The sequence below is a fragment of the Homo sapiens genome, chromosome 19 (genome assembly GCF_000001405.40).
Source record: "Homo sapiens chromosome 19, GRCh38.p14 Primary Assembly".
In the NCBI taxonomy this organism is placed as follows: Eukaryota; Metazoa; Chordata; class Mammalia; order Primates; family Hominidae; genus Homo; species Homo sapiens.
Genome location: NC_000019.10, coordinates 40632374 through 40655414, shown reverse-complemented (window position 1 = coordinate 40655414; position 23041 = coordinate 40632374). Strand labels below are relative to the sequence as shown.

General features: G+C 49.1%; 3 annotated features.

The window, feature by feature from the left end:
* Positions 3128 to 3177: an enhancer, noted in NCBI's record as "active region_14661". NCBI's record gives its function as "activates an Ori minimal core promoter by ATAC-STARR-seq in GM12878 lymphoblastoid cells {active_cell/tissue: GM12878}" and the evidence as "EXISTENCE:reporter gene assay evidence [ECO:0000049][PMID:35858748]".
* Positions 6950 to 7931: an enhancer, noted in NCBI's record as "NANOG-H3K27ac hESC enhancer chr19:41153389-41154370 (GRCh37/hg19 assembly coordinates)". NCBI's record gives its function as "activates a minimal SCP1, AML or CMV promoter by ChIP-STARR-seq in primed H9 embryonic stem cells {active_cell/tissue: H9 hESC(primed)}" and the evidence as "EXISTENCE:reporter gene assay evidence [ECO:0000049][PMID:30033119]".
* Positions 18401 to 18522: a silencer, noted in NCBI's record as "fragment chr19:41142798-41142919 (GRCh37/hg19 assembly coordinates)". NCBI's record gives its function as "represses an EF-1alpha promoter that drives an FKBP-Casp9 reporter gene in an ReSE screen in phorbol 12-myristate 13-acetate-treated (for megakaryocytic differentiation) K562 erythroleukemia cells {active_cell/tissue: K562(+PMA)}" and the evidence as "EXISTENCE:reporter gene assay evidence [ECO:0000049][PMID:32094911]".

Below are 23041 nucleotides of genomic sequence, written 5' to 3'. Positions count from 1 at the left end.
ATAACAACGCTGAGAGGCAGATACTATTATTGTCTCCATTTTCCAGAAGAGAAACTGAGCCACAGAGTGGTTAAGGAACTTGGCCCAAAGTCACACAGCTAGAAAGCAATGAAGGGGAGCAGAACCCAGAAAGTGGCTCCAGGGTCTCTGTATTTTTAGGGTTTCCAGTAGATAGTACAAGATGAGCATTATGGTTAAGATTCCTCCCTCCTGGGCCAGGCGCAGTGGCTCACGCCTGTAAATCCCTGCGCTTTGGGAGGCCAAGGAGGGTGGATCACCTGAGGTCAGGGTTGACCAGCCTGGCCAACATGGCAAAACCCCGTCTCTACTAAAAATACAAAACGTAGCCAAGTGTGGTGGCAGGTGCCTGTAATCCCAGCTACTAGGGAGGCTAAGGCAGGAGAATTGCTTGAACCTGGGAGGCAGAGGTTGCGGTGAGCCAAGATCACACCCCTGCACACCAGCCTGGGGGACGAGAGCAAGACTCTGTCTCAAAAAAAAAAAAAAATTCTTCCCTCCTACTCCCCAGCTTTGTTTGTACACAAGGGACCCCTTCCAGGCCACAGATAACTGAACCAAAGTGATATTAACCCATCCAAAGGGGCCCTTTTGACATGCACTATCTCCTACATGGCTGCACGTTGAACATACCTAACCATCCCAGGCTTACAAATGCTTTTAGAGCAAGTTTCAAAGTTTGGTCCAGGGTTTCCTGGAGGTCCCTGAGACTTTGTCCACAAAGTTAAAATTACTTTCTTTTTTTTTTTTTTTTTTGAGATGGAGTCTTGCTCTGTCGCCCAAGCTGGAGTGCAATGGCGCAATCTCGGCTCACTGCAAGCTCCGCGATTCTCCTGCCTCAGCCTCCGGAGTAGCTGGGACTACAGGCGCCCGCCACCACCCCCGGCTAATTTTTTTTTGTAATTTTAGTAGAGACGGGGTTTCACCATGTTAGCCAGGATGGTCTTGATCTCCTGACCTCGTGATCCGCCCGCCTCGGCCTCCCAAAGTGCTGGGATTACAGGCGTGAGCCACCGCGCTCGGCCAAAATTACTTTCATAATAATTCCAGGACTTTTTTTGCGTATTTCAATCTCATTCACTTATGAGCATACAATGGCTCCATGACATGTGATGACATAATTGCTCTGCCAGTGTGTGCTTGTGGATGGCTGGATTTTAATATTGTCAGTTTTAGCCTAGGCAACACAGCAAGACTGTGTATACAAAAAAATCAATAAATTAGTTGGGTGTGGTGGTGCACACCTGTAGTCCCAACCACTCAGAAAGCTGAAGCGAGAGGATCACTTGAGGCCAGGAGTTCGAGGCTGCAGTGAGCTGTGATCATGCCACTGCACTCCACTCTGGGCAACAGGGTGAGACCCTGTCTCAAAAATCAATCAATAATAAAAAATTTGTTTAAATGGCCAGTTTTAAGTTCTAATATGGTAAATATCAATAGCTATAACCCACACAGGCCGGGCGCAGTGGCTCATGCCTGTAATCCCAGCACTTTGAAAGGCCGAGGCGGATGGATGACCTGAAGTCAGGAGTTGGAGACCAGCCTGGCCGACACGGTGAAACCCTGTCTCTAATAAAAATACAAAAAAATTAGCCAGGCGTGATGGCGCACACCTGTAGTCTCAGCTACTCGGGAGGCTGAGGTGGGAGGATTGCTTGAACCTGTGGGGCAGAGGTTGCAGTGAGCCAAGATCACACTATTGCACTCCAGCCTGGGCGACTAGAATGAAACTCCATCTCAAAAAAAAAAAAAAGTTATAACCCACACAAATAAAAGCTGTTTGGGGTCCTTGATACTATTAAGAATGTAAAAGAGTCCTAAGACCAAAAAGTTCCAGAACAGTTGCCTATAGCAACATTTCCCGAGTCACTGTGACAGTCCCTAAAGGATCCCACAGATCCCCAAACATTTCCCCAGGCCCAGGCCCTGGATGACAGTCACAGCCATGAGCTGCCGAGAGCTCTTTGGGATCAAGACCTTTCCTTCAGGTTCGTACTATGATGTCAAATTGGATTTTTCCCAGAACTTCCAGAATTGCTACTACTGCCCAAAACTGAGGACAAAAGTGGCCAACTACCCCAGAGCCTAAGTTCGAGGTCACTGCCATTATAACCAGCCACTTACCCAAATAAGTTACTGAGAGGACCCAAGGCTGTCCAGAAAAGGATAGAGAAGAGAAAGGAAGCATCATCCTGTTTGGGGGGAAAATGAGAGAGGAAAGTTCTCAAGAGAGGCTACACCTTTCCCTCCCCATGAACTTTGTGGGTTTTTTTGTGTATTTGTTTGTTTGAGACCGAGTCTCACTCTGTCGCTCAGGCTGGAGTGCAGTGGTGCGATCTCAGCTCACTGCAACCTCCACCTCCTGGGTTCAGGTGATTCTCCTGCCTCAGCCTCCTGAGTAGCTGGGACTACAGGCACATGCCACTATGCCCGGCTAATTTTTAAATTTTTGTATTTTTAGTAGAGACGGGGTTTCACCATGTTGGCCAGGCTGGTCTTGAACTCCTGACCTCAAGTGATCCACCTGCCTCGGCCTCCCAAAGTGCTGGGATTATAGGTGTGAGCCACCGTGCCTGGCCTGAAGGCTATGTTTTTAAATGAATGAAAATGAGAGAAATATTAAAGACTCTAGCAAAATTGTCATTAAGTTTCCCTGTAGCCTTTATCCAACAGGAAAAAGGAAATTAACAATACATTTATTTTTAAAAATAAAAATAATAGACAGGCCGGGCGTGGTGGCTCACTTCTGTGAGCCACCTTTGGGAGGCCGAGGTGGGTGGATCACTTGAGGTCAGGAGTTCAAGACCAGCCTGGCCAATATGGGGAAACCCCGTCCCTACTGAAAATACGAAAATTAGCCGGGTGTAGTGGTGCGTGCCTGTAATCCCAGCTACTCCGGAGGCTGAGGCACGAGAATGGCTTGAACTGGCAAGGTGAAGGTTTCAGTGAGCTGAGATCGCACCACTGCACTCCAGCCTAGGAGACAGAGCTAGACTCTGTCTCGAAATAATAATAATAATAAAGACACAGTCTTGGGGCCAGCTGTGGTGGCTCATGCCTGTAATCCCAGCACTTTGTGAGGCCAAGGTGGGTGGATCATTTGAGGTCAGGAGTTCAAGACCAGCCTGGCCAACATGGTGAAACCCTGTCTCTACTGAAAATTCAAAAATTAGCCAGGCAGTAGTGGTGTGCACCTGTAATCCCAGCTACGCAGGAGGCTGAGGCAGGAGAATCTCTTGAGCCTGGGAGGCAGAGGTTGCGGTGAGTGGAGATTGCGCCACTGCACTACAGTCTGGGCGACAGAGTGAGACCCTGTCTCGAAAACAATAAATAAATAAAAAAGACACAGTCTTGGATGCTGTGATTTTGGATCATAGTCTTGGAAAACAATAGATAGCAGGTAGAGAGCAGTCACTGCAGAACAAATGGAAACTGTCATGTTTTTGATCCCAAGGGATTGAGATTTCTCAATAAACTATTTCTGTTTAGAACAGGGAGTTGGAGCTGTGCCCAGGTGGATGTTATTGGGCACAGGCTGTATAGAGGTGGGTCTTAAATCAGTACCAGTAAAAGCCAGATGTAACTTCCAAAGATGGTGGCAACAATGTTTCCCAGCCCATATATTCCTCTAGAACTTTGATACCCCTTCCATTGGGAAGTGGAATTTGTGTAAGCTCCCCTTACATCTAGGCAGTTTGTGACTTGCTTGTAACCAAGACTATGTGGCAGAAGTAATGCTGCATGATTCCAAGGCTAGATCAGAAGAGATAAGGCCCCTTCCTTTCCTTCTTTCCTTCCTTCCTTCCTTCCTTCCCTCCTTCCCTCCCTCCTTCCCTCCTTTCTTTCTTTCTCTCTCTTTCTTTCTTTCCTTCCTTCTTTCTTTCTCTCTTTCTCTCTTTCTCTTTCTTTCTTTCATTTCGATGGAGTCTCACTCTGTCGCCCAGGCTGGAGTGCAGTGGCGTGATCTCGGCTCACTGCAACCTCCGCCTCCCAGGTTCAAGCGATTCTCCTGCCTCAGCCTCCTGAGTAGCTGGGACCGCAGGCCCGTGCTACCATGCCCAGCTAATTTTTGTATTTTTAGTAGAGACGGGATTTCACCATGTTTTCCAGGCTGGTCTTGGACTCCCGACCTCAGGTGATCCACCTGCCTCAAGCTCCCAAAGTGTTGGGATTACAGGCGTGAGCAACCGCACCCAGTCGCGGCTGCTACTTTCATAAAACACTTGTACTGGATGCCGAAGCTGCCATGTAAGTCCAACTGCCCAGAGGCTGTCATGATGTGAGGGAGCCCAAACCAGTTCGCGTGGAGAGACCACATTGAGAAGCCCTGAGACAACATGGAGTGGGGAGAGAGTAAGAGAAAGAGAGAGAGAGAGAGATCCATCCACCCCCAGCTGCTTCCCTGTTCCAGTTTCAGCTGCCAAGTGACTGCAACCATATGAAATTCCAAGTCAGAACTGCCCAGTTGGGTCCTTCCCAAAACTCTGACCACAGACACAGTGAAAAATAATAGGATGACTGTTGTTGTTTTGGGCCACCATATTTTGGAGTGATTTGTTACCAAGCAATAGTAACTAGAAAGAGGGAAATGTGTGGAGCATAAGGAGCTTGCAAAGAAAAGCAGCCTTAAGAGGTGAGAATGGCCATGTAATGACGATAACAGAAGCTAACATTTGAACGCTTTCTGTATATGGGCACCATTCTCAGTGCTTTGCATTAACTAACTCATTTAATCCTCACGGGAACTCTACCATATGAGTGCCTTCATTATCTCTATGTTACTGACGGGAAACAGGGCAGAGAAGACAGAAATTTGTTTGGAATGGAAATTGAACCCAGGTGTGGCTCCTGCAGCCCTAGTGTGAGCCACTCACCTTACTATTTGAGGAACATGTGACTTGGCTCAGCCAATCTGGCCATTATGGTTTTTCCTTCTGTCCCTCCGATCACAGTGATTGGCTCTTGCATGAACACGTGCCCTCTGTTGGCCCAATCAGAGTTAGCCTCATTACTTTGGCAGGAAACCTGAGCCAAAGGTGCTCTCCTTTGCTTGTGGGATATGAAGAAGGTTCCCTGTGGCCAGAGGCTGGAGGTAGTCATCTTGGGAGCTTCCACTGGAAAAGATAAAGCAGAGAGATAAAAAGAAATGGGAGAAATGGGGTCTGGCCGGGCACGGGGGCTCACGCTTGTAATCCCAGCACTTTGGGAGGCCAAGGCAGGCAGATCACTTGAGGTCAGGAGTTCAAGACCAGCCTGGCCAACATGGTAAAACCCGGTCTCTATTAAAAATACAAAAAACTTTTTCTCTTTTGTCTCCTGTGACTGTGTTTGTTCGTTCCTTCCTTTCTTCCTTCCTTCCCTCCCTCCTTTCTCTTTTCTTTTTTTCTTTCCTTTCTTTCTTCCTCTTTTTTTTTATTCTTTTCTCTCTTTCTTTCTTCCTCTTTCTTTTTCTTTCTCTTCTTTTTTTGTCTCTGTGTCTTTCTCTTTCTTTCTTTCATCTTTTTTTTTTTTTTTTTTTTTTTTTGAGACAAGAGTTTCACTCTTGTTGCCCAGGCTGGAGTGCAATGGCACCATCTTGGCTCACCACAACCTCTGCCTCCTGGGTTCAAGCAATTCTCCTGCCTCAGCCTCCTGAGTAGCTGAGATTACAGGCATTTGCCACCACGCCCGGCTAATTTTATATTTTTAGTAGAGACAGGATTTCTCCATGTTGGTCACGCTGGTCTTGAACTCCCGATCTCAGGTGATTTGCCCGCCTCCGCCTCCCAAAGTGCTGGGATTACAGGCATGAGCCACTGCGCCTGGACTTTTTTTTTTTTTTTTTAAAGAGCCTCACTCTGTCACCCAGGCTGGAGTGCAATGGAACAAACTCGGCTCATTGCAACCTCTGCCTCCTGGGTTCAAGTCATTCTTGTGCCTCAGCCTCCTGAGTAGTTGGGACTACAGGTACATGCCACCATTTCCTGGCTAATTTTTGTACTTGTACTAGAAACGGGGTTTTGCCATGTTGGCCAGGCTGGTCTTGAACTCCTGACCTCAGGTGATCCGCCCACCTCAGCCTCCCAAAATGCTGGGATTATAGGCATGAACCACTGGGCCCGGCCTGACTGTGTATTTTCAAATAGCCTGTCTTCAAACTCACTAATTCTTTCTTCTGTTTGATCAATTCTGCTGTTAAAATACTCTGATGCGCTCTCGCTCTCCCTCTCCCTCTCCCCACGGTTTCCCTCTCCCTCTCTTTCCACGGTCTCCCTCTGATGCTGAGCCAAAGCTGGACTGTACTGCTGCCATCTCGGCTCACTGCAACCTCCCTGCCTGATTCTCCTGCCTCAGCCTGCCGAGTACCTGGGATTGCAGGCGCCGCCACGCCTGACTGGTTTTCGTATTTTTTTGGTGGAGACGGGGTTTCGCTGTGTTGGCTGGGCTGGTCTCCAGCTCCTAACCGCGAGTGATCCGCCAGCCTCGGCCTCCCGAGGTGCCGGGATGGCAGACGGAGTTGCGTTCACTCAGTGCTCAATGGTGCCCAGGCTGGAGTGCAGTGGCGTGATCTCGGCTCGCTACAACCTCCACCTCCCAGCTGCCTGCCTTGGCCCCCCAAAGTGCCGAGATTGCAGCCTCTGCCCGGCCGCCACCCCGTCTGGGAAGTGAGGAGCGTCTCTGCCGGGCCACCCATCGTCTGGGATGTGAGGAGCCTCTCTGCCTGGCTGCCCAGTCTGGAAAGTGAGGAGCATCTCTGCCCGGCCGCCATCCCATCTAGGAAGTGAGGAGCATCTCTGCCAGGCCGCCCATCATCTGAGATGTGGGGAGCGCCTCTGCCCTGCCGCCCCGTCTGGGATGTGAGGAGCGTCTCTGCCCGGCCACCCCGTCTGAGAAGTGAGGAGACCCTCTGCCTGGCAACCGCCCCGTCTGAGAAGTGAGGAGCCCCTCAGCCCGGCAGCCACACCGTCTGAGAAGTGAGGAGCCCCTTTGCCCGGCAGCCACCCCGTCTGGGAAGTGAGGAGCGTCTCCGCCCGGCAGCCACCCCGTCCGGGAGGGAGGTGGGGGTCAGCCCCCCACCCGGCCAGCCGCCCCGTCCGGGAGGGAGGTGGGGGGGTCAGCCCCCCGCCCGGCCAGCCGCCCCGTCCGGGAGGGAGGTGGGGGGGTCAGCCCCCCACCCGGCCAGCCGCCCCGTCCGGGAGGTGAGGGGCGCCTCTGCCCGGCCGCCCCTACTGGGAAGTGAGGAGCCCCTCTGCCCGGCCAGCCGCCCCGTCCGGGAGGGAGGTGGGGGGGTCGGCCCCCCGCCCGGCCAGCCGCCCCGTCCGGGAGGTCAGGGGCGCCTCTGCCCGGCCGCCCCTACTGGGAAGTGAGGAGCCCCTCTGCCCGGCCAGCCGCCCCGTCCGGGAGGGAGGTGGGGGGGTCGGCCCCCCGCCCGGCCAGCCGCCCCGTCCGGGAGGTGAGGGGCGCCTCTGCCCGGCCGCCCCTACTGGGAAGTGAGGAGCCCCTCTGCCCGGCCACCACCCCGTCTGGGAGGTGTACTCAACAGCTCATTGAGAACGGGCCATGATGACAATGGCAGTTTTGTGGAATAGAAAATGGGGAAAGGTGGAGAAAAGATTGAGAAATCGGATGGTTGCTGTGTCTGTGTAGGAAGAGGTAGACATGGGAGACTTTTCATTTTGTTCTGTACTAAGAAAAATTCTTCTGCCTTGGGATCCTGTTGATCTGTGACCTTGCCCCCAACCCTGTGCTCTCTGAAACATGTGCTGTGTCCACTCAGGGTTGAATGGATTAAGGGCGGTGCAAGATGTGCTTTGTTAAACAGATGCTTGAAGGCAGCATGCTCGTTAAGAGTCATCACCACTCCCTAATCTCAAGTACCCAGGGACACAAACACTGCGGAAGGCCGCAGGGTCCTCTGCCTAGGAAAACCAGAGACCTTTGTTCACTTGTTTATCTGCTGACCTTCCCTCCACTATTGTCCTGTGACCCTGCCAAATCCCCCTCTGCGAGAAACACCCAAGAATGATTAAAAAAATAATAAATAAAAAAATAAAAATACAAAAATTAGCTGGGCGTGGTGGCACATACCTATAGTCCCAGCTACTCGGGAGGCTAAGGCAGGAGAATCACTTGAATTCCGGGGAATTGGAGGTTGCCGCAGTGAGCCAAGATTGTGCCACTGCACTCCAGCCTGGGCAACAGAACCAGACTACGTCAAAAAAAAAAAAAAAAAAGAGAGAGAGAAAGAAAGAGAGAGAAAAGAAAGAAAAAAAGAAAGAAGAAAGAAAGAAGGAAAGAAAGAAAAGAAAGTCCTTGGTGACATGGCTGAGCCATTGTGTCAACTTTGGCTGAAGCCAGCACAAGTGTGGATTTTCCAGCCACAGATTCCCCTTACAATTTAAGCCATTTGAGTCAGCTGTTCTGGTACTTGCATCTAGGCGAATCATCAAATATTTTACAAGCAGTCCAGGTGCAGTGGCTCACACCTTAATCCCAGTACATTGGGAGGCCAAGGCAGGAGGATCGCTTGAGTTCCATAGTGAGAATTTGTCTCCAAAAAAAAAAAAAAGAAAAGAAAAAATGAATTTCACAACCAATACTTTGGGCACTGACCGAGCAGCATGGTTCACTTCTGTGCCCGATATTGACCCTTTACTTCCTGCATTGTGGAGAGGTCTGGGAAGTCCTGGGAGAGGGACCAGGGCAGCTAGAGTGGCCTTGGTGGAGGACGTCATTGGAGCGACTTGAGACAGAATGATTTACCAACCAATACGGAAATAATTCAGTATTTCAACAATCAACATAGCCTAGATATACCCCAACAACATGCTCCGCAGACAGCTAGTCCAAGCTGAATATGAGCTTTACTTGCTGAAGGATACAACACCCCCCGCCCTTTTTTTGTTTGTTTGTTTGTTATTGAGACGGAGTCTCGCACTGTCGCCCGGGCTGGAGTGCAGTGGCGCGATCTCGGCTCACTGCAACCTCCGCCTCCCGCGTTCAAGCGATTCTCTTGCCCTTTTGACGTGAGCTAGTGTGAATGGATTTCTGTTTCTTGCAACCAAGCACATACAGAAGAAAAAAAAAAAAAAGATCCCCTGACAAGCCTGAGTCATGAATCAAACGTTCAGGAAATAAATAGCAGTCCAATCTCACTTTAACCGTATGAGGTCATCTTAGCTTCGGGTCAGGCTGAAACTCTGCCGAGATTTTTGACCATGAGCTCTGCCAAAGGGTCCGCACCCTTTGGCCCAAGAATCCCTCCTCTGGGACACACAAGGAGGTCCATGAGGGGATTATTTATAATGGGAGGAAATTGGAAACAGCTTCAACCTCTGGCAATGCTGCCCTTTTGAATAAACATAGTGCAAACATTAGAGATTGTGTTTATCCAAAGATGTTTTAACAGGGGAACAGCTTACATTTTAAGAGGGGAAAAAACAGGGCTGTATAAACAATTTGCTCACACAGTTATGTAAAACACACACGTGCACACACACAACACACGCATTTAAAAAGCTCACAGAGAATAGAAAAGGCTGAAAGGAAATATATCAAAATGTCAACAACCATAGTGGTACAGGACTTAGGGATGGGAGGGGCGTCTTTGCCTTGCTAGTTCTCTGTAGTTTCCAAATGTTGCTTGATGAACGCCAAACTCTCCTTTTTTTTTTTTTTTTTTTTTTTTTTTTTTTTTTGAGATAGAGCCTCGCTCTATACCCCAGGCTGGAGTGCAGTGGCACGATCTCGGCTCACTGCAACCTCCGTCTCCCGGGTTCAAGCGATTCTCATGCCTCAGCTCCCGAGTAGCTGTGATTACAGGTGCCTGCCACCACGCTTGGCTAATTTTTCTTTTTCTTTTTCTTTTTTTTTTTTTTGAGAAGGAGTCTCGCCCTGTCCCCCAGGTTGGAGTGCAGTGGCGCAATCTCGGCTCGCTGCAACCTCTGCCTCCCAGGTTCAAGCAATTCTCTGCCTCAGCCTCCCAAGTTGCTGGAATTTACAGGCGCCCACCACAACACCTGGCTAATTTTCGTATTTTTAGTAGAGACGGGGTTTCACCATCTTGGCCAGGCTGGTCTTGAACTCCTGACCTTGTGATCCACCCACCTCAGCCTCCCAAAGTGCTGCTGGGATTACAGGCATGAGCCACCGCACCCAGCCTGATTCTTGTATTTTTGGTAGAGACAGTGTTTTGTCATGTCGGCCAGGCTGATCTTGAACTTCTGACCTCAGGTGATCCACCTGCCTTGGCCTCCCAAAGTGCTGGGATTATAAACGCGAGCCATTGCACCCGGCCCAAACTCTCCTTCAATAAATTTTATTTTCAGTTTTTAAACTCTTATATCATGAAAATTTTCAAACAGACACAAAAAGTCAAGAGACAATAAGCTTACATATACTCATCACCCAGGTTCAAGAACCATCAATATTTTGCCATTTCATCTTCTTTCCCCTCCCCATTTTTTTGAATACTTGAAAAAAAATCACACCCTGTAGTCCCAGCTACTCAGGAGGCTGAGGCAGAAGGATCGCTTGAGCCCAGAGTTTGAGACGAGTCCGGGCAGCATAGTGAGGCCCTGTCTGTAAAAAACATAAAAATAAAAAATAGGCCAGGCAGGGCAGGACGCAGTGGCTCACGTCTGTAATCCCAGCACTTTGGGAGGCCGAGGCAGGCAGATCACAAGGTCAGGAGATCGAGACCATCCCGGCTAACATGGTGAAACCCCGTCTCTACTAAAAATACAAAAAATTAGCCAGGCGTGGTGGGGGCCTGTAGTCTCAGCTACTCGGGAGGCTGAGGCAGGAGAATGACGTGAACCCAGGAGGCGGAGCTTGCAGTGAGCCGAGATCAGGCCACAGCACTCCAGCCTAGGCGACAGAGCGAGACTCCACCTCAAAAAAAAAAAAAAATTGGCCAGGCACGGTGACTCAGGCCTGTAATTCCAGGACTTTGGGAGGCCAAGTTGGGAGGATCACTTGAGGCCAGGAGTCTGAGACCAGCCTGGGCAATATAGTCTTGTGTCTACAAAAATAATTTTTAAAACATTAGCAAAGCATGGTGGCCAGTGCTTGTAATCTCAGCTATTTGGGAGACTGAGGCGGGCGGATCACTTGAGCCTAGAAGTTTGAGGTTACAGTGAGCTGTGATCATGCCACTGCACTCCAGCCTGAGCAACAGAATGAGACCCCATCTCTAAAAAATTAATAAATAAAAATTTTAAAAAATTACAGGTGAGAGGTATTATGTTGTTTCATTTGTAAATACTTCAATGAGCACCTTGAAGAGAAGAATAGGGTACATTTTCTTTTCTTTCTTTATTTTTTTGACGGTCTTGCTCTGTCGCTCAGGCTGGAGTGCAGTGACACAATCTCAGCTCACTGCAACCTCAAACTCCTGGGTTTAAGTACTCCTCCCACCTCAGCCTCCTGAGTAGCTGAGATTACAGGCGCACCCCACCACACTCGGCTAATGTTTTTTAAAATTTTGTGTAGAGATGAGGTCTCACTATGTTGCTTAGGTTGGTCTCGAACTCTTGAGCTCAAGCAATCCTCCCATCTGGGCCTCCCAAAATGCTGGGACTACAGGTGTGAGTCACCACGCCCAGCCAAGGCATGGTATGTGGGCATTACCCAACCACAATGGCATTATCAAGTCTAGCATAATTAACCGAAATTCCTTAATATCTCCTAAAAGCCAGTTTGTGTTCCCCAATTGTCTCAAAAACAGATTTTTACAGTTGTTTGGTGTGAATTGGAATCCAGAGAAAGTACATTCATTGTATTTGGTTTTGAATTTTCTTCTTCTTTTCTACAAATGGTAAAATTTATGGGTGAGTGTGCGTGTGCTCGTGTATAATCCTGATTCTTAAGGGTTTTTTTTTCTTTTTTTGGTTTTGGTTTTGGTTTTTGAGACAGGGTCTACAGTGCAGTGGCACGATCATTTCTCACTGCAACCTCAGCCTCCGGGTTCAAACAATTTTCTTGCCTTAGCTGCTGAAATAGCTGGGATTACAGGCATGTGCCTCCACACCCAGCTAATTTTTGTATTTTTAGTAGAGACGGGGTTTCACCATGTTGGCCAGGCTGGTCTTGAACTCCTGGCCTCAAATGATCCTCCTGCCATAGCCTCCCAAAGTGCTGGGATTGCAGGCAGGATCATTTCATCTGGCTCGATTCTGAGTTTTGAAAAATTCGTAAGTCATGTAATCACCACAGTCTGCATTCATGACAGTTTTATTACTTCAAAAATTCTCTTGGGCTTTGTAGACAAGCATAGTTGGTTTTTGTATCTGCATTTATTGTTCTAATGGGAGGAAAAGCAATCGTGGGAGGTTGTTTAAGGCCTGAAGTTATTCAAGATTGGGCGGGAGTCCACCAGCAAAAGCCCAGGATTAGGCAGGAGGAGACCTGGGCTCCAGGCTTGCTCTTCCACTTGGGCCTTCCTCTCTCTGAGCCTCAGCTTCCCCATCTGTAAGATGGGTATGTGAAAACCCCAAGAGTTAACAAAGGCATCCAGGAAGCTCTCAACTGTGGCAGCTCTTTCTTTCTTCTACTTTTTTTTTTTTTTTTTCGAGATGGAGTTTTGTTCTTGCTGCCCAGGCTAGAGTGCAGTGTTGTGATCTCGGCTTACTGTGATCTCTGCCTCCCGGGTTCAAGCGATTCTCCTGCCTCAGCCTCCCGAGTAGCTGGGATTACAGGCATGTGCCACCACACCCGGCTAATTTTGTATTTTTAGCAGAGATGGGATTTCTCTATGTTGGTCAGACTTGTCTCGAACTCCCGACCTCAGGTGATTAGTCCACCTCGCCCTCCCAAAGTGCTGGGATTACAGGCGTGAACCACCGCGCCCGGCCCTCTTCCTTCTTTATTTACAGCTCTGAGGCCGAGTCATCCCAACCCAGGCACTAGCCCTGCACAGAGCAGCCAGCCCTCCTGGTCGCCTGCCCGCTGCTCCCCCACAGACAACCTGACAGTGTTCCGCGCTTTATTTTAAATTATTTTTTATTTTTGGAGACAGGGTCTTACTCTGCTGCCCAGGCTGGAGTGCAGTGGCATGATCACGGCTCACCTCAGATCTCCTGGGATCCAGCGATCCTCCCACCTCAGCCTCCTAAGTAGCCTTGGGAGTACAGGTGGGTGCCACCATGCCTGGCTAATTTTTAATTTTTTGTAGAGACAGGGGTCTCACTATGTTGCCCAGGCTGATCTCGAACTCCTGGGATTAAGCCAGCCTCCCACTTTGGCCTCCCAAAGTGCTGGGATTAGAGATATGAGCCACCACACCCAGCCTATGTTCTGTGTTTTCTACCTTCAATAGCACTCAAATTCTCCCCTTCCCTTGGCGGGGCGTAGTGGCTCACACCTGTAATCCCAGCACTTTGGGAGGTTGAGGTGTGCGGATCACTTGAGGCCAGGAGTTCAAGACTAGCCTGGCCAACATGGCAAAACCCTGTCTCTCCTAAAAATACAAAAAATTAGGCCAGACGTCGTGGCTCATGCCTGTAATCCCAGCACTTTGGGAGGCCGGGGCAGGTGGATCGCTTGAGGTCAGGAGTATGAGACCAGCCTGGCCAATATGGTGAAACCCCGTCTCTACCAAAAATATTAAAAATTAGCTGGGTGTGAGGGTGCGTGCCTGTAATCCCAGCTACTTGGGAGGCTGAGGCAGGAAAATCCCTTGAACTCGGGAGGCAGAGGTTGCAGTGAGCAGAGATCGTGCCATTGCACTACAGTCTTGGAGACAGACTGAAACTCTGTCTCAAAAAAATATAATAAAATAAAATTATCTCCTTCCCCAATCCACAGTCCCCAGGGCCTGCGCCTCCCAGATTCTCCATGGCCCTGTCCATCTCCGCTGCCTGGGTCCCTGCCCGGCCGGCCTCCTCCCTGGACTCCAGCCTGCCCTTATGTCTCCCATGACCCACTCCCACCCAGCCACCCACAAGCACTTTCTAAATCTGACCACAGACCCCCATGTCTCAAAGGATAACTCGAGGCCTGCCAAGCGCCTCCCTTCCCCATAGGACAAAATTATTGCCAGTAATAATCAGGAAATGAAATGAACAATATTAATAGTCAGAAAAGAAATGTAAACAGTGGAGATTTTCTTTTCTTGAACCTCATATACGTAAAGTCTGCCAGTAAAAATTAAATTTAAAAGTAAACATTACAGTACTAAAAAAAAAAAGAAAGAAAAATAGCACTACTATTTATTCAAAGTTTATTGAAAAATTCGAAGTTGGAACTTGGGTTTTTGGGTTACAGTCTGATATAAAATTGTTATGTAAATAGTTGTGAGTTTTTTTCTTCTTGAGGAGAGAGAGACTGGGAGGGAGGGAGGAAACAGGAAGAGAGACAGACAGAGAGACAGACACAGAGTGAGACACAGTTGACCCCTTCACATGGGGCCCTGGGCACTTAGAATTCACCCTGCAAAGCCCCCCCGAAGTCAGGACTTGGTGTGGGGTGTTGCAGAAATGTTTCCTCCCCCTGCCCGGGCTCCGCTGGGAAGCCACGTCCCCCACCCCTGCCCTTCCTCCCACCCACAGCCTGCCTTCTCTCTGGGGACCTCTGTGGAGCTGCCTGGAACATGCGTGGGGTGACATGCATAGCAAGCTGGGGGAAGCAACCAAGGTGGTGGCCAGGCCCCTTGAAGACATAAAAGCACATTGCATTGGGAGGGAGGGACCCCGGGGGGCTGAGAATGTCCTGTTGCTTAAACTGGATGGAGGGGACACTGGGTGGTGGGTGCAGCTCCTCGTTTTCAGCAGTGGTTTCTTGAAGTAGACCCATATTCAGGAAAGTACAAACCGTAAGTGTAACCGCTGGAGGAATTATCACCGATTGAACACACCTGTGTCACCAGCCACCAGCCCAAGAAGCAATATCTCCAGCCCCCCAGAAGCCCCCTCGGCGCTCCCTTATCACCTGCCCTCCCTCCAAGGTCATTATCACCCTCACTTCTGACAGCATAGATTGGTTGTGCCTGTTTTGAATTCATGTAAATGCAATCTGAAAATATGTTCTTTTTAGCATCTGGCTTTTTTCAGTCAGCACCGTGAAAAAAATTCATCCTGGTTGTCGTGTGCAGTTACAGGTTATTCTCATTGCAGCACACACACATTGCAGGCCACTGTGGGATCAGTTTATCCATTCTTCTGCTGGTGGTGAGGGACTGAGCCAAGGGGGCCAGGCGCGGTGGCTCACACCTGTAATCCCAGCACTTTGGGAGACTGAGGTAGATGGATCACTTGAGATCAGCAGTTCGAGACCAGCCTGGCCACATGGTGAAACCCCGTCTCTACTAATAATACAAAAATTAGCTGGGGGTGGTGGCGGGTGCCTGTAGTCCCAGCTACTCGGGAGGCTGAGGCAGGAGAATTGCCTGAACCTGAGAGGAGGAGCTTGCTGTGAGCCGAGATCGTGCCACTGCACTCCAGTCTGGGCAACAAGAGTGAAAAAACTCCGTCTCAAAAAAAAAAAAAAAGAGAAACTGAACCTAGTGGAAAGAGTCCCCTAGGCAGAGGGAACAGCCAGTGCCAAGGTCCTGGGGTGGGATGGGAACATGTCTGGATCTTAGAGAAACAACAAGGAGATCCGTGTTGCTGCAGAGGAGCGTGTGGGGGGTGGAGGGGAGGTGAGGTCAGAGAGGGAACAAGAAGCAGACGGTGCAGAGTCTGCTGGACCACAGTGAGGACTTTGGCTCTTACTTTGAATGAGATTGGCGGAACACAGTGGCTCAGGCCTGGAATCCCAGCATTTTGGGAGGCCGAGGTGGGTAGATAAGTTGAGCCCATAAGTTCAAGACCAGCTTGGGCAATAAGGGAGGCCTCGTCTCTATCAAAAAATTGGCTGGGTTGTGGTAGCCCTGGAGGCCTGGAGGATGGCTTGAGCCGAGGAAGTCTAGGCTGCAGTGAGTCATGACTTGCACCACTGCACTCCAGCCTGGGCAACAGAGTGAGACCCTGTCTCAAAAAAAAACAAAAAAAAAATGAGCAAAATAATCTTTGAGTGAGATGGAGCCACAGGAAAGTTTTGAGCAGCAGAGGGAGTTGAGTTGACTTGGTTATTCCCAGAGTCCCTCTATCTGCATGACGGGGAGAGATTGTGGGGCCAGGAGTAGGAACTCCAAACCCTAGGAGGAGGGTAAGATATGGGTGGCAGCTATGGAGGTGGTAAGAAGTATTTGGCCTCTGAATACATTTTTTCTTTGTTTGTTTTTGAGAGGGAGTCTCACTCTGTCACCCAGGCTGGAGTGCAGTGGTGCAATCTGAGCTCACTGCAACCTCCACTTCCTGGATTCAAGCAATTCTCCTACCTCAGCCTCCCAAGTAGCTGGGATTACAGGCGTGCACCACAATGCCTGGATAACTTCTTCTTCTTTTTTTTTTTTTTTTTTTTTGTATTTTTGGTAGAGATGGGGTTTCACCATGTTGGCCAGGCTAGTCTCAAACTTGTTGCCTCAAGTGATCCGTCTGCCCCAGCCTCACAAAGTGCTGGGATTACAGGTGTGAGCCACCATACCTGGCCCTGAATACATTTTTTGTGTATGTGATTAATGATGTATTTTATTTACTTCTACCATTTTGCTTTGTGATTCTAGTGTCCTCATTTTTCTACGTTTATTTATTTTTTCATGCTCATTTAAGCTTCTTTGAATTGGCTGCATTTTTTGTTTAGTTTTGTCTTATGTTTTCTTATTCTTTGTTTTCCCTCTACTAGTTTGGAATCTATGCACCATTTCTTTCTTTTTGTAGCAATCTTTGAAATTTTAACATGCTTTTTTTTTTTTTTTTTTTTTTGAGGCAGGGTCTTGCTCTGTTGCCCAGCCTGCAGTGCAGTGGTGAGATCCTAGCTCGTTGCAGGCTGGAACTCCTGGTCTCAATGGATCCTCCCTCCTCAACCCCCTGTGTAGCTGGCACTACAGGTGTACAAGACCACACCCACCTAATATTTTTATTTTTGTAGAGACAGGGTCTAGCTATGTTGTCCAGGTTGATCTCCAACTCCTGGGCTCAAGTGATCCTCCCACATTGGCCTCCCAAAGTCCTAGGATTATAGGCATGAATTACTGTGCCTGGCCATGCACATTTTTAAAAATCAGGTCTATTTCTATTGGAGGACAGAAATTTAAAAAATCAAGTCTAGGCTAGGCGCAGTGGCTCACGCCTGTTATCTCAGCACTTTGGGAGGCCGAGGAGGGCAGATCATGAGGTCAGGAGTTCGAGATCAGCCTGGCCAATATGGTGAAACCCCGTCTCTACTAAAAATACAAAAATTAGCCAGGTGTGGTGGCGCACACCTGTAGTCCCAGCTACTCAGGAGGCTGAGGCAGAAGAGTCGCTTGAACCTAGGAGGCGGAGGTTACAGTGAGCCGAGATGACGCCACTGCACTCCAGCCTGGGCGACAGAGCAACACTCTGCCTCAAAAAAAAAAAAAAGAAAAAATCAAGTTTAAAATCTAATATTTTCAACATCACACCAAACAGTACCTGGAGCACAGAGCATGTTGTTTTTGATCTCCCCAATCCTACTTATAATGATAGTGTTGTCTAAGATTTTATTTTATTTCATATTATTTTTGAGTTGGAGTCTTGCTCTGTTACCCAGGGTGGAGTGCAGTGGCGCCATCTCGGCTCACTGCAACCTCCGCTCCCCAGGTTCAAGCGATTCTCGTGCCTGAGTAGCTGAGATTACAAGCACCTCCCACCATGCCCAGCTGATTTTTGTATTTTTAGCAGAGACAGGTTTTCACCATATTGGCCGGGCTGGTCTCCAACTCCTGACCTCATGTGATCCACCTGCCTCAGCCTCCCAAAGTGCTGGGATTACAGGTGTGAGCCACCACGCCTGGCCTAAGATTTTAGATCTCTCAATTTTAGAAAGTGTTTTAACTTTTCCTTTGGAAATAATTTCAAATTTACCAAAAAGTTGCAAGACAAATAATAGGACAAAGAACTCTCTTGTATTTTATACTCAGGTTCATGGATTGGTAACATTTCTACCTCATTTCCTTTATCACTTGCTCTCTTCTCTGTTATGTATTTTCTTTTTCTGATTTTTAAAAAAATCTTTGAGGCTAAGTTACAAACAACATCACCCCTAAAAGCTTCTATAATGGGCTGGGCACGGTGGCTCATGCCTATAATCTCAGAACTTCGGAAGGCCAAGGCAGGCGAATCATCTGAGGTCAGAAGTTCGAGACCAGCCCAGCCAAGATGAAGAAACCTTGTCTCTACTAAAAATACAAAAATTACCTGGGTGTGGTGGCACACACCTGTAGTCCTGGCTACTCAGGAGGCTGAGGCAGGAGAATCACTTGAACCCGGGAGGTGAGGTTGCAGTGAACCAGGATTTCAGTGAACTGAACTGCACTCTGCACTCCAGCCTGGGCGACAGAGCAAGACTGTCTCAAACAAACAAACAAACAAACAAACAAAAACTTCTGTAATGTATCTCTTTTTCTTTTCTTTCTTTTTTTCCGTAGAGACAGGGTCTCACTCTGTCACCCAGGCTGGAGTGCAGTGGCATGATCCTGGCTCACTGCAGCCTTGACACTGCAGCCACCACACCTGGATCATTTTTAAAGTTTTTGAGAGATGGGTTCTTGCCATGTTGCCCAGGTTGGTCTTGAACTCTTGGGCTCAAGGGATCGTCCCACCTCAGTGTCCCAAAGTGCTGAGATTACAAGCATGAGGTAATGTGCTCAGCCGCCCTATGTATTTCTTAAGAATTGGGATATTTGGCCGGGAGCGGTGGCTCATGCCTGTAATCCCAACACTTTGGGAGGCCGAGGGGGGCGGATCACCTGAGGTCAGAAGTTCAAGACCAGCCTGGCTAACATGGCAAAACTCTGTCTCTACTAAAAATACAAAAAATTAGCTGGGTGTGGTGGTGGGTGCCTGTAATCCCAGCTACTCAGGAGGCTAAGGCAGGAGAATTTCTCGAACCCCAGAGGCAGAGGCTTCAGTGAGCCGAGATTTCGCCATTGCACTCCAGCCTGGGCAACAAGAGCAAAACTCCATCTCAAAAAAGAAAAGAAAAGAAAAGAATAGGGATATTTCTGGCCAGGCGACGTGGCTTACACCTGTGGTCCCAGCACTTTGGGAAGCAAAGGTGGGCAGATCACTTGAGGCCGTAAGTTCGAGAACCCTGGCCAACATGGTGAAACCCCGTCTGTACTGGAAATATTAATACGAAAATTAGCTGGGCATGGTGGCACACACCTGTAGTCCCAGCTACTCGGGAGGCTGAGGCAGGAGAATTGCTTGAACCCAGGAGGAGGAGGTTGCAGGAGCTGAGATTGCACCACTGCACTCCAGCCTGGGCAACAGAGCGAGACTCCGTCTCAAAAACAGAACAAAGCAAAACAAAAGAATAGGGATATTCTCTTACATGACCACAATATAGTGATCAACTTCAGTAAATTTAATATTAGTATGTGAATTTTTCTAATCGACTGTTCGTATTCCAGTTCTGTCAACTGACCCGGTAACGTCCTGATAGACAGCATCGCTTTTCCTCCAACACAGAATGGGACACCTTTTCTAACTAGAGCCGACAGAATTTGCTGACAAATTTGATGTAAGATGCAAAGAAATGTTCTGGAGAAGGGTGAGACAGAGGTGCAGATGACGTGCGCCAGGCACCAGTCTCTCTGTTCCTCTCCCAGCGCTGCTTCCCCTCGTGTTGGCTGCATTTTCAGGCCAGCTCTTCTCCCATGTAAGAACCCAGTGTTCCAAGCCTGTGCCCTTTCAGCACAGTATGTCTAGGAAGCCCCTTCTTCAACAATCAGCAGTAGTTCCAGAGCCAATGCTCATCAGTCCAGCTTCAGGGACACACCTGTCCCTAAGCCAGTTGCAAAGGCTGAAGGGAAGGGATTCTCTCACTGGCCAGGTCTGGAGTCTTCCAGTAGGGTCAACATGTGAACCAAATGAGCTGAGAGTGAAGGAGGCAGCTCTCCCTGTGGGAGAGACAGTTAAAGTAGTGGTTTTCAAAGTGTAGAGATGGGGTTTCACCATGTTGGCCAGGCTGGTCTCGAACTCCTGACCTCAGGTGATCCGCCTGCCTTGGCCTCCCAAAGCACTGGGATTATAGGTGTGAGCTACTGCGTCTGGTCTATAGCATTTTGTTTTGTTTTATAGAGACAGCTCTTGCTCTGTCGCCCAGGTTAGTCTAGAACTCATGGCCTCATGACATCCTCCTGCCTTGGCCTCCCAAAGCCCTGCGGTTACAGGCATGAATCACTGCCTGGATGATCATAGCTTTTTTTTTTTTTTTTTTTTTGAGACAGAGTCTCACTCTGTTGCCCAGGCTGGAGTGCAGTGGTTCGATCTCAGTTCACTGTAACCTCCGCCTTCCAGGTTCAAGCTATTCTCATGCCTCAGCCTCCCGAGTAGCTGGGATTACAGGTGCCCACCACCACACCCGGTTGCTTTTTTGTACTGTTTTGTAGAGACGGGGTTTCACCATGTTGGCCAGGCTGGTCTCGAACTTCTGGCCTCAAGTGATCCACCTGCCTCGGCCTCCCAAAGTGCTAGGATTACAGGTGTGGGCCACCACGCCAAGCCTACTAGCTATTGATGATGATGATGATGATGATGATGATGATGATGATGCCAACGATGACAACGACGATGACCCCAGCCTGCAAAACCAAGGGCTGGCTAGCAAAAGCTCGGGGCTCGCTGAAGACTTTACGAGCATCGGCCACTAGGGGGCGCAGCCGGCTTGGGCTGCGCCGGCGCGCGGTGGCCATCGGGGGGCGCTGCGTTGCTTGTCTGGCGAGCGCGGTGACCGCCTGGACTACCTCCCTCTGAACATTCCAGAGGAGAACGCGTCGGTCCCGGCCAGTGCCAGAAGCCCCAACGCCAGGTCTGGGGGTTAGTGCAGGGGATGCAGGCAGGATAACAATTAGATCCATGGGGCACACCCTCCAGGCCCGGCGGCGGGCGAGATCTCAGAAGAAAGATCCCACTCCCAGGATGCTGAAATTCGATTGCAGTTTTCCAGCACTGTTGGCCAGCCCTGTCGCAATTCCTGGGACATTTATGCAGCAAGGTGGTTGTGGGGGCGGGGTGGGAATGGGATACCCACAGAAGATTCCGAGGAAGGATGAGAATACTTGGAAATTGCCTGCAACCTTTGTTTGTGTGAGTTTTTCTTCTGTGAATGAGCTTTCGACAGATTCTCAAAGGGATCTAGACGCCCAAACAGAGACTGTTCAGAGCTTTGTCTCTTTCTCCAGAAAGCCTTCCCTGATCATCTCTCAGACTGGATCAAGTGTCTCCTCTGGGCATGCATGCCCTCTGATCTTCCCCCACCGCAGCCTGACCCCTGCCTGTGCCTCCCCCATACAGCACAGGCTCTCATGTGTGGTGATGTGTCGGTGTCCCCCATGAAGGCAAGGGCCTGGGATTTCTCAGGCACCAAGATTGTCACCATTGTTGTCCAATACAGGCCTTAGATACCAAAGGAAAGACATCTAACAGACACTTGCTCTCTTACTTCTAGGCCTTCGGAAGTGCTGTCCCCTCCACCTGGAACATGGTTCTCCACCTCTTTCTCTTTTCTTTTTCTCTCTCTTTCTTTCTTTCTTTCTCTTTCTTTCTTTCTTTCTTTCTTTCTTTCTTTCTTTCTTTCTTTCTTTCTTTCTTTTCCTTCCTTCTTTCCTTCCTTCCTTCCTCTCTCTCTCTCTCTTTCTTTCTGACAGAGTCTCACTCTGTTGCCCAGGCTGGAGTGCAGCGGTGCAATCCTGGCTCACTGCAACCTCTGCCTCCCGGGTTCAAGAGATTCTCCTGCCTCAGCCTCCGGAGTAGCTGGGATTATAGGCACCTCCACCCCTTTCATCTTGCTCATTTCCCTACAGTAATCAACTCTCAGCTCCAACATCTCCTCCTCCAGGAGCCCTCCCTAACCACCCCCCAAGGCTGGGTTAAAGTTTGTGTTCCTCGAATTCACTTATTGCAAAGCAGGAAAATATTTGTTGAATGAATGACTGAGGAATTAGTGGTTGGGTCGGGTTCCCTGTATCAGCTGGAGGGTAACTTTCTGAAACGCTTTGTAGAGTCGGCGTTTTTAAAGAAGGGCTTTATTGACTTATGATTCACATACCACACAAGTCACCCATGTGTAGTGTATAATTCAATGATTTTTGGTACAGACAGTTTTGTGCAACTGTCACCCCTTTGTGGAGCCTTGAGCCACTCCTTGTCTGACACTCCTCCCCACCAAGGCCTTGTGTTAGGTGTTTCTCACTGTCCTGTTGAAGGGGATGGGGTCTGGCCTCCTCCTCCACCCTGGGAGGGAGAATTGGTAAAGAAAAAGACCTAGCCAGGCCAGGTGCCGTGGGTCATACATGTAATCCCAGCACTTTGGCAGGCCAAAGTGCAGGAGAATCACTTTAGCCCAGGAGTTTGAGATCAGCTTGTGCAACACAGTAAGGTCCCCTCTCTACAAAAAATAAAAATTAAAAAATTAGCTGAGCATGGTGGCACATGCCTGCAGTTCCAGCTAATTGAGAGGCTGAGGTGGGAGGATCACTTGAGCCTGGGAGGTTGAGGCTGCAGTGAGCCATGGTGGCACCACTGCACTCCAACCTGGGCAACAGAGCAAGACCCTATGTCAAAAAAAAAAAAGAAAGAAAGAAAGAAAGAAAAGAAAAGGAAGAAGGAAAGGAAAAGAGAAAAGAACAAGACCTTACTATCTGCCCAGCCACAGGGCTCAGCATATCCTGGGAGGCCCAGGGTTATGCCAACAATGACTGAGCCCTTGCTCTGTACCAGGTGACATTCTAAGCACATATATGACAATTCATTTAACCACCACCACCAATCCTGCAGGGTAGGCGCTCTTAGTATGATTCCCCGATGTAGCACAGGAGGCTGCTGGGCATGTGACCCCTCCTGACACTCAGCGGGTGGGCTGGAGATCAGGTCAGGAAGCAGCCTCCAATCCACAATTTATGCAATTTCAGCAGTGCCTAGAGGATTAAAACTGGAGCCTCATAGGCCAAATAGGCCCCATAGGGTACTATATTAGTCTT